At 43.9% G+C, this 11,456-nt stretch overlaps 1 protein-coding gene across 1 annotated transcript, besides 2 other annotated features; it reads right to left on the bottom strand.

Moving 5' to 3' along the window:
- EIF2B2 (eukaryotic translation initiation factor 2B subunit beta) lies at positions 103–9,548 on the bottom strand. Its single transcript, NM_014239.4, has 8 exons — positions 9,316–9,548; positions 9,074–9,194; positions 8,770–8,918; positions 7,569–7,732; positions 6,508–6,603; positions 5,755–5,892; positions 4,681–4,747; positions 103–3,438 (listed from the first exon to the last, which is right to left on the bottom strand). Exons 1-8 carry the CDS (start codon positions 9,476–9,478, stop codon positions 3,281–3,283), a joined length of 1,056 nt encoding a protein of 351 aa, NP_055054.1. The 5' UTR covers positions 9,479–9,548; the 3' UTR covers positions 103–3,280.
- Positions 9,190–9,870: an enhancer, noted in NCBI's record as "H3K27ac hESC enhancer chr14:75469302-75469982 (GRCh37/hg19 assembly coordinates)". NCBI's record gives its function as "activates a minimal SCP1, AML or CMV promoter by ChIP-STARR-seq in naive H9 embryonic stem cells {active_cell/tissue: H9 hESC(naive)}" and the evidence as "EXISTENCE:reporter gene assay evidence [ECO:0000049][PMID:30033119]".
- Positions 9,912–10,001: an enhancer, noted in NCBI's record as "active region_8734". NCBI's record gives its function as "activates an Ori minimal core promoter by ATAC-STARR-seq in GM12878 lymphoblastoid cells {active_cell/tissue: GM12878}" and the evidence as "EXISTENCE:reporter gene assay evidence [ECO:0000049][PMID:35858748]".

Here is an 11,456-nt window from a genome sequence, read left to right as displayed (position 1 = left end):
ATTTCTGTTCCTTATTCAAGTTCCAAGAATTGTGCCTTTCCTGCCCTCTGCCCAAACTGGAAGATAGAAACCGTGGGAAAAAAGTGTCTTTACAAACTGCACTGTTATCTAACTTGGTTTATTTAGCATATTGAGGAAGACTTTCACATCCATGGAATCCTAGTTCTATTAATTCTCTCCAAGCTACAACAGTTGTTTTTTTGTTTGTTTTTTTCCGAGTTTCTCGGTTCCGCCAGCAAGGCAGGGGTGGGAGGTGGGCACCCCTGATACCAAGGCTGACAGGTAGTGAGTTGATGTGGAACTTCTGTTTCCTCCTGTTCAGTTCAGGTTCTCTCTTTCTGATACTTACCCCTCCTCAAATAGGGAAACGGAGAGAGGGGAAATAAGAAGATGAGCCTTAATAGGGTTTACTTAATTGGGGTCATAAAGATTCTAAAAAGTATGCATTCCTGCAGTTCTGTTCTAGGCACTGTAAGAGCTGACCAGAAAGAGAGCTTCTACCCTTATAACCTTCATCCAACTCAGTCATGCCTGGGAAGGATGTTGGTGCTAATTTTAGACACAGAGACTAAGATGGACAAAGGACAAGTATCATAAAGCATTTTTGGAGCCAGGAACAGATTTAAGTTCCTTGCCTCACTGCTGCTCTTACTCCAAACCACACAATTGTACCCAAGTGAATTGCTGTTAGAATTGGTGCCTTTGGAGGAGACAATTGCTCGTAATTGGTAGCTACAAGCCACTTCACTGAGAAAGCGTGGGGTCTTAGATGCTTTAAGAAATAATAGAAAGACTGAGCCTGAGTGAGTCAGGCTCTTCTGAGTCATACAGCTTTTAGGTCAGTGTAAAATGCCGACTTTCTGAGGTCTTACTTTTTTCCCCTCTCTGGAAGACCTAAGGCAAAGATCGCTCTCAAAGAGATATCAAAGAATAGAGACCTTTCCCTCAGAACCTACCTCTGCCCAGTGTTAACCAAAATGTGGTTTCAAATCACCTGTTCAAAGCCCACAGGCTATTTGTTAAACATGCAGATTCTTAGTGCTCCCTCCACCCACACAGACACTGCACAAGAGGCCCTGCTTTGGACCACTAGTTCCTAAACATGGCAGAAAATCTGGATCACCTGGGAGACTTTTTAGGTTAAAAACCGGAAACAATATGTAAGCATAAACATGTCAACAAAATTAGAGGATGTCCCTCTGCTTGCTGTGCTTGGTATTATACTTCTATACTGTTTCCCTATGCGTGTACATATAATTTTGTTTTGTTTTTGTGAGACAGAGTCTCACCCACTGTTGCCCAGGCTAAAGTGCAGTGGCCCAATGGCACTGCTCACTGCAACCTCTACTTCCCAAGTTCAGCCTCCCGAGTAGCTGGGACTACAGGTACCCACAACCACACCTGGCTAATTTTTGTATTTTTAGTGGAACTAAAAATTTTATTATAGTATTTTAGTTTCGCCATTTTGACCAGGCTGGTCTCAAACTCCTGACCTCAAGTGATCTGCCCTCCTCAGCCTCCCAAAGTGCTGGGATTATAGGCGTGAGCCATTGCGCCCAGCCAGTGTTGTTTTATGGAAATGAGTCCGTATTATGCATATTGCTCTGCAGCTTGTTGTGTTTTTTTTCCCCAGCTTGTTTTTAACTAACAGAGTATCAAATGGACTTCCTTGCAAATCTGTCCCATTCTTTTAACACCAGGATCACAACTCAAATGCCTACAGGGGTTAGGCAGATAACATAAATGAGTTAAATGGATCCAGTAGGAACTGCAGAAAACTGGAGATGTTCCATCCAATGGCATCAGATGTTACCCAACCACAAACTAACTACTGCCATTTGGAAATGTTGGCCCAGAGTTGCCAAATTTGAGTTTTCAAGAAAAGCAAGAAATCTGAATTTTTGAAATGTGCAATCTCCAGATTTTTAAATATTGGTAACAAATTCACATTAAATGCAGTGAACCAGCCCAAATGCCTTCAATCCAGACACTGCCCCTCCAGCCATCCTTTTGAAACTTCTATTGCCATGTATAATGTTCCACGGTGTAACTGTCAATACTTAACCTTTCTCCTATTGCTGGACACTTAGGCTATGACATTACAACTACTACACTGAACACTCTGTATAAATCTTTTTGCTTGTACAAATAATTCTAGAAATACAGCTTCCAAATTGCCCTCTAAAAGGCTGTACCAATTTATAGTCCTATAAACACTACATGAGACTATCCTTTTCTGGGAAGCTTTAAACAGATTCCCAGGTAGTAACCCTGAGATCAGATGCAGTAGGACTGAGATGAAACCCAAGACTGTGTGAGTGAGTGATCGGAATCACTCTCAGGTGATTCTGATGATCAGCGAGGTTTTGGAACTACTGTTTTAGACTATGAACAAACTTTGGGGCCAGGAGCAGTGAATTGTAAAGGAAACTATACTTTCATTTGTACTTGTTATTTTTTTAGAGACAGAGTCTTGCTCTATCATCCAGGCAGGAGTGCAGTGGTACAATGATAGCTCACTGAAGCCTTGAACTCATGGGCTCAAGTGATCCTCCCACCTCAGCCTCCAGCATAGCGAGGCCACAGGCATGTGCCACCATGTCTGGCTAATTTTTTAAAATATTTTTTTGTAGAGACAGGATCTTGCTATGTTGCCAGGCTAATCTCAAACTCCAGGCCTCAAACAAGCCTCAAACAAGCCTCCCACCTCAGCCTCCCAAAGTCCAGGATTACAAGTGGGAGCCACTGCATCTGGCCAGTACTACCATGTTGTACACTTTTCCCGCTAACTACAGCCCTCTATGCAAACACAAAAAAGGCTCTGCTGCTGCTGTTTCAAGCAGTTCTGTCAGAGTAGGACAATAAATAAACCAACTATGGAACCTTCAAGTGGCTTTTATTGGTAGAGCCTAGAAAAAGTGTCATAGCCATTTCTGAGCAAAAATCTGTATCCCAGTAAGGTATTCAGTGTTATGTTTAACACACTACTGAACCAGAAAGTTTAAGTTCCTGACACAGACGCAACCAGGTCACTAAGAGGCTCCAAAATCAACAAGTTAAGCCCTGCTGCTCTGTTAAGATCTGAAAGGCAAGACACAGTCCTGGATGTGTGCCCTTGTTACGGGGTGACTAAAAAGGCAGGCAACAGTATCAAGGATTTTTTTTTTAGGTGGACTCCTGTGCACTCCCACATTGCAAGGATGTGCTTCAGCAGCAACACTCAAGTCTCCTCTTCATTCTGTATCTGCCTAAGCAATCTGCTTAGGACACGTGTGGTCGGTCATAAAACATGATCATCAGGATGGTAGAGTTCACTCATCAGGCGGTAGATGTAGGAAGGTGCATTCCCACCAATGTTGGAGATAAAGAGGGTAATGAGCTCTGGGGGAACGTAGTCAAACACAGGGCAATGCACGCTGACCTTCTCCAGAATGTCCCCTGAAAGGCAAGCACACATGCTAAAGGTAAAACTGAGGCTCCCTCTCTCATAATTAAGTAGCATATAGATTCCAGGCTCGAGAATGCAGGCATATTAGCTCCCCAAGGACGGGAAGCTATGGAAAAATGCAAACCAGAAGAGATGACTTCAGATCATGACAATCCCTGCTTACAACTCTCCCATGCCTCTGCACAGCCCTCAGAATAAAATTCAAACTCAGGATTGAAGTTTAAGATCTGGGCCCTCCCTGACACACCACATGAATTACAATTTGGACCACTCTCCCCCTTGCTCATTACTGTCTAGCCATGTATGGCCATCCTTTTCTAACTGGCTAAGCCCCTGCACCAGCTCATAGAAAACTATGATCTTCATATGGTGGACTCTGTTCATTCAGGACTCAGCTGAAATGTCATCTCATTAAGACCCTTCCTCAATCTCAGGCCCCTAGCCACTTTCTACCACATCAGCCTTGCTTGTCCTCAGGCATCCCATGACCTGATACTTTCTCATCTGTCTTCCACAATAGAATGTGTGGGAACAGGGCCTTATCTTTTTCATTCATTGTTTTATCTTCAGTGCCTAGAAGAGTGCTGGATACATTGTAGGTGCTCAATAACTATTTCTTGAAGATTGAATGTTTATTTAAATAAAGGGATGAAGTCAATCAACTTCCAAGAGGAACTAGGACCCCAACCAACTACTATGCGTTGCTCTCAGATGGTGTGTAAGGCCACCCTTGCTGATGAGGCTGCACGCGTAATGAGCTGAGCTGCTGCCTTCAGAAGAAGCCAGAGAAAAGAACCCCAAGACATGAGACTATCCAGGCTACAGGTGAGTTTTCTAAGGAGGAACATTTCACAACCTGCTTCCTTTGGGAGTCAATTCACCAAAATGACTCCTTATAGCAGGAAAACAGGTACATTTTCCCAACTGGTTGTTGTCTATATCTCAAACAGCATGCAAAGCCAAACCCAGACAATGCTAAATGATCCAACCCACAATAGCCCCAACAAATCTAAAATATATTTGTCTCAGAACAAATTAACATGGACTTGGTCAGGTCCTCAAGCACTTTGAGCTTCTAAAGAAAACAGTCCCCACAAGAAGTATGATAAAAAACACAACTTGACAGCATTCAGTTCTACTGACCAACAAAACAACAAAAAGACCAAAACACATGCACACACAAACCCCGAATACACACAACACATGCACGCATGCACACACAGCTTCTGTACCTTCTGTGAATGGCAGGACTTCTTCAGGAGCCACAAACTTATGAAATGAGTCTTCTTCATTGGGGAACTAAAAAGGAAAAAATTTATAAAAACTAGAGACCCAGCAATTCCACTCCTAGGTATGTACCCTAGAGATGAAAACATATGTCCACACAGAAAACTTATACACAGATGCTTATAGCAGCATTATTCACAAAAGCCAAAAGCTGGAACCAACCCAAATGCCCATAAACAGATGAATGGATTAATAAATTGTGGTATGTTCATATAATGGAATATTATTCAGCCTCGAAAGGAAATTCTGACATTACAACATGGATGAACTTTGAAAACATCATGCTAAGTGAAAAAAGTCAGGCACAACATGTCACATATTATATGATTCCTTTTATACAAAATGGGCAAATCCATAGAGACAGGAGCAGATTGGAGGAGATGGGGAGAAGGACAAATAGGGAGAGATTACTTAATGGGTACAGGGTGTTTTTCTACAGTGGAGAAAAAGTTTTGAAACTAGAGAGTGGTGGTTGTACAATGCTGTGAATGTACTAGATATCACTAAATTGTATACTTTAAAATGGTTAATTGTATGTTATGTGAATTTCACCTCAATTTAAAAAATAGAGACCTATAAATAGGTTGATGTTTTCAAAGCAAATAGCTTCTATCACTGATGAAATGGCTCTTCACTTAGTCCTTGCTTGTATTCAGGTTACAAAGGACAGGCCCTGCAACAATAACAAAACTGATTCTATGATCCTACTTTCAACCTGCTTGGCATTTTCAGAAATGGTCAGGCGACAGGGAGTGGTGGCAATCGTAAGCAAAGGACCTTTCCCAACTACATATTGTCCTTACAATCTTGACTTCCTAAAGTTGACAGCTGAGAACTCTCAACTGTTTTACTGAATCAAGACTTCTGTGGTTCTTTCCAGCCTCCACTGGGTGTAATCCATTGAGTAAATGCAGATAAATGGAGGCCCTGGAGTGAGGTGGTTGAAGTCCCAGAGTTCAAGCCTACCCTTTGGCTTCCTTCTTTTCTGCTGGCTTCTAGCTAGAGACAGACACACTTACCTGTGGAGAAAGTTTGAACATAGGTGCACAGACGATGAGTGGGGTGGAATGGTGTTTTGCTGCCAGTGCCAGAGTGTGAGTTCCTGTCACAGCTCTCAGGGCCCCATTGGCCAGGATGGTCTTCGTGCCAATGATCACCTTTGGGACAAGACAAAAAATGTGAGCCATCCTGGGGGTGGAGCCCTAAAAGGGCCACTGGCCACAAAAAGCTAAATGCTTAGACCTCAGAATTGGTATCGTGAGGGGTCACAGACTGGTAGAGGTGAAGGGATCCCTGGCTCAATACAAGTTCTAGCTTAAAAGTAGGTTTCCAAGGAAAGAATGAATGTAAAATGGGACAAGAAACTGCAAAACCTACTGCTCTCAGTCCCATATTTTCTGGAAATTGAGATGCCATACCTTCTGAGAAGCCAGGAATCTTTTTCATTCACTATCCACAACTGCCAAGCTCTTTGAGCATAAGGCAGGAGCCCTGTAGCCAATCCCTAGAAACTGACACTCTTGCCTTAGTTCTATTTAATACTTCATTCTTTTCAATGCTTCAACCAAATTTAGAGGCTACTCCAAGAGAGGAACAATGATGCAGAAAAAAGGGAAAAGAAATTCAGTTAACAGATTAAAAAGGCCTAAGTATGTACTTTGAAAGGTGCTAGAAACTTTATTCTCTCACCGTGGATATTACAGGAGGAGATAAAAATCAATATTTTAGAAACATAATCTTCATGAATTCAACATAACTCCAGATATACCCACCTTGTTGACTCTTGACATAACGGCAAAAATGGCAGCATCAGTCATGACAGTTGTCTCAATACCTGCTTTGGACAAATTCACAGCCATTTCATGACCCTGCAATGGGAGGGAAAGGCTGATTCTAAGAGAAAGAGTGAGAAATAGTGAAAAGTGCTCTCAAATGTAACTGGATCTGGGGAATTGTGTGATATGGGCATATCCAGCACATAATTTCCAATAGATAACTCATTTTTCGGACAACTGATTTTTCAGACTCTCATAGCTCTGGTAAGCTGTAGGGAAGCCCAGGGGAAGCTAATAAATGTCTAATGCTCCACAGCAGCACCAGAGCAGCCATAAAACTGGAAATACAACATGCATGTATAATATAATCACGATTGCTGACAAGATAGCTCCTGGCTCATTATTTTAAAACAACCTGCATCCTTACATATTTCCTTTTTGAGACCTATTATTTACTTAGGATCAAGTGAGGTCAGACCAAGCATTAGTCATCCCCAAGGTAATTTACCCTGCTTTGATTCCTAAAAGAATCAAGTTATCTTTCCTTGAACCCAGCAGCTCGCCATCTTTTTTTTTTTTTTTGAGACAGAGTCTTGCTCTGTCGTCCAGGCTGGAGTGCAGTGGCGCTATCTTGGCTCATTGCAACCTCTGCCTTCCAGGTTCAAGCAATTCTCCTGCCTCACCCTCCAGAGTAGCTGGGATTACAGGCATGTGCCACCACGCCCAGCTAATTTTTGTATTTTTAGTGGAGACGGGGTTTTGTCATGTTGGCCAGGCTGCTCTCGAACTCCTGACCTCAGGTAATCCACCCGCCCAGCCTCCCAAAGTGCTGGGATTACAGGCATGAGCCATCGCTCCCGGCCCCAACTTTCTTAAACCACTATTTATGAATGTTCACAGGACGAACACCTTGAAAATTCACTTAATGTTTTACTTGATCTTCTCAGTGTCTCAAAGTCTTGCTTATCAATTCAAGGTTGGAATGGCCCTACCCATCTCTCGTTTATTTCTTCTTCATTTTTCATTTTTCTTAGTAGCAACTCCAGCAGTCTCCTTACCTGGCAGAAAGGAGCACACTCTGCTACAATGACATGGAATTTCCTCTTTCGGGCAGCCTCTTTGAGGAAGGCCTCTACTGTTCGGGAGAAGCCAATGGTCATGATCACCTCATTGGAGTGAATGTGCTCCAGAGCCTGGGCTGCAATGTTCTCCATTGTCCCTTCTGTAAGAACGGTTTTGCAAAAAAAAAAAAAAAAAAAAAAAAAAAAATATATATATATATATATATATATGAAATTGCTATATCACAAACACACATTACGCGTATACGGAAAAAGATGTCTGCCCTTCACATGCACTGCCCACCTAGCAGACCCTGGTACCACAGGGTTAATGTGCTTAAAGTGAAATGTCACAATTTCTTTTTTTTTAATAGAGACAGGGTCCCACTATGTTGCCCAGGCTGGTTTTGAACTCCTGGTCTCAAGCAATCCACTCACCTTGGCCTCCCAAAGTTGTGGGATTACAGGTGTGAGCCACCATGCCCAGCTATGTCACAATTTCTTAAAAGCCCCACTCCTCTGGGATTTTCTGCCTGCCCTCTTCCAGAAGTACCCCTACCTATGAACCACCTCTGTCACTACAGAGCTCCTTACAACTGATTTTGAAGACAGTAGATTCAGCCAAGGAATGGCAATCTGGGAAATCCTAAAGTGCTGAGAATAGGGTAAAGAGAGCTTCGGCCTAAAAGAAGTCTTCCTCCAAAAGGTGGCCACAACACTTCTACATGAGAGAGACTGGCCAGAGAAGAAAAAATGGGGGAGCAATTTGGAAGCAGCTTCTTCATCCTCTGATTACAATGAATATCTGCAAGTCACTTGGACCGCAATGACAAGGGGGATAGAAATGGTATACGTGTACGTGTGTATAAAAATTCAGATAGTGAAGGAGGTCTATCGACCTTGGCTCTCTAGGGAGTTCATTTTGTTTCTTTACAATGAAAATAAAACTCTGTCCTAATAGAGTCTGTTCCACTCCACAGATCTGTAGTCTATCAAGGGTTGGTCTGTAAGGAAAAGTAGAGAGGATTACTTTGGTCCTGTCACCTGTTGCAACATTTCCTAATCAGGAAGGAGGACAAACCTCTGAGAACCAGAAGACAGCTAATCTCCCATCTCTGCTAATGAACAACCTTCAGAGGCTTCTGTTCCCTTATGTGCCTGTGACCAGTCCCATTTTCCCAGCGATCAGGCCTCTTACCCAGCTCCACTAGCAGCTCATTAATCGCCTCAATGATGTTGGACTGGAGTTGGGCATAATGGAAGCTGAAATCCTCGTTTAGGCCTCCGGATGTCAACAGTTTGTGCAGGGACTCCTGCTGATCACTCTCGTCGCTGCGTCCATGGAGTCTATAGAGGCAACAAGACCCAAAGAGAGAGGTGGGGAGGAGTGGTCAGGCAGGTAACAAGGGCTGTTCAGCTCCAATAAAGTCTCCGAGCAGGTAGAGGGGCCCGTGCAAAAAGTGTCACTGGATCCAACCAGGAGCCCAGGACGTGAGCCTGACCTGCCATACTCCTCCCGGATAATCTTGAGCACTCTCCGCACCATGTTGCCCACGGTGGTCTCGGAGGGCTGAGCGGCCGTCATCCTCCTGCCCTCTCTGCGGATCAGCTCCATCAGCTCCCCTACAGTCCAAAAGAGAGAGGATAAGAGGAGCCAACGCGAAGTGAGGCCTGGGAAATTTTCAGCCCTGGGATCGGGAACAGACAGGGGCCAGGTTCGCCGGCGGAGGCAGGCCGGCCTCACCCGCGTTGCTCCAGCGGTGGTCCGTGATGATCTGGCGCAGCAACCCTAGGGTCTCCCGAGCCATTTCCTCGGAGCTGCGCGGCCCACCACCCCGCTTCAGGGTCTCCACGAAGCTCTCGATCCTCTCTGACAACTCCGAGCCCTTCGCTGCGGATCCCGGCATCTTTAAGGTAGCTGCCTTCAGCCTTCACCGGCGGAATCCACACCTGCCAGACCACACAGTTTGCACTTCCGGGGCGGGCGAGGTCGGCTTCCGCTGTGAGGGGATGGGGGGAAACCTCAAGTTTGAGTGGAAGCCGGCTACGCCCTTCGTTGCCGATCTCCCGCCCCCTTCCTCTGCCTGAGCCAATCAGAGACGTGGGGCTCGGGTTGTTCAGTTATAACCGGGCGTCCGCGCGCCCCCGCGCCTCGGGGGCTGGAGGATCGGAAGCGGCCTTTCTTGGCTCAGCCGACGGTGAACGGAAGTAACCCGTCAGGCCTGTAGAGGGTGGCTGGTCCCGTTGCTATGGGAGCAGCAAGTCTCTACGCGCCCCTCACCGCGACTTAAGGCTACACTGAAGAAGTTGCGGCACTCCCTCCTGTCTTCCCAGCTCGGTGACTGCCCGAGCTGTCACTCCCGAGTGTCAGCTGACACTGACGCTCTGAATGCATGTCCAGGGTCGGCTGCCCCTTGGGCAGACGTCTCACTTTTGTTCTGTTACATTGCTTGGTACCGTTTGCGCCTGTGTCTAGGAGGTTCATGTCTCTGAAAACAAGGACGATATCTTTTGTTGCTTTTGTATTCTCAAGGCCTAACACGTCTAACAGAAGACGGCGAAATTAGAGATGAGGAAGATTAAGGAGATTCAAAGTGGGAGCCAATACAGAAGCAAAGATGACATCCTCTGATTTGGACAGAATTGTCCTCCTACAGAGAGGCCAGAGAGTATAACATAATACCAAGAGTTACCATTTACTTAAAGCTTACTGGTTCTTGGGCACTGTGTGTGAATTGTCTCAGTTAATAAGGTCTGAAATAGGTCCTCTTATCCCCATTTTACAGATTGGGAAACAGACCCACAGAATTTAAGCAGTTAATAAAGGATTGGGTTCATACTTAAATCCAGGTCTACCTGAACCCAAAGTATGTGTGTAATAGAAATCTCTATTTCCTTAAGATAAATTCTTCAAAGTGGAATCCATAGGCGAGCACATTTTAGACTTTTGTTACAATTAACAAATTGCCCTCCAAAAAGATTATGTCAATACCAAAGTTAGCCAAAGGTAGTACAAAGAAAAGAAAATTACAGATTAATATCTCTCATGAACATAGAAGCAAAAATTGCAACAAATTATTAGCACATCAAATCCTGCAATACATAAAAAAAGAATAATATGTAATTACAAAGTGAAACATAAACCTGGAATGCAAAGCTGATTAAACACTTAAAAATCAATGTAATATGCCATATTAACAATCTGAGAAGTAAAACCACATGATCATGTCAATTGATGCAGGAAGAAACATTTGACAAAATTCAATATTCATGGTACAAACTCTCAGAAAACTAGAACAAAAGGGAACTTCCTGAACTCGATAAAGGGTATCTACAAAATCCTACACCTAAAAATCATACTTCACAGTAAAAGATTGCTTTCTCCCTAAGATCAGGACAAGGCAAGGATGTCTACTTTCACCACTCCTATTTAAATTATACGTGAAGTCCTAGCCCTTGCAATAAGGCAAGAAAAAGAAAAAGCATACAGAATGGAAAGAAACTGTCCCTGTTCACAGAAGACATGATAGTGTACACAGAAAATCCCAGAGTCAACAGCAACAAAAACAAAACCTCCTAGAACATAAGTTTAGCAAGGATACAAAAACTATATTTCTATGTATTAGCAATGAGCATCAGAAATTGAAGTTGAAAATACAGTTGCTCTAAAAAGCCATAAAATATGTGTCAATTTTGCTGTGTTTTAGTTTTTATTTATTGATTTGTTTGTTTATTTTGAGACAGGGTCTCACACTGTTGCCCAGGCTGGAGTGCAGTGGCATGCTCACTGCTCACTGCAGCCTCAACCTCCCCTGGCTCAAATAATCCTCCCACCTCAGCCTTTTGAGTAGCTGGGACTACAGGCACACACCACCATGCCTGGCT

This window comes from Homo sapiens, chromosome 14 (assembly GCF_000001405.40).
Source record: "Homo sapiens chromosome 14, GRCh38.p14 Primary Assembly".
NCBI classification, from domain to species: Eukaryota; Metazoa; Chordata; class Mammalia; order Primates; family Hominidae; genus Homo; species Homo sapiens.
The sequence above is the reverse complement of the archived record's forward strand: the minus strand, read 5'-3'. Positions and strand labels throughout refer to the sequence as shown.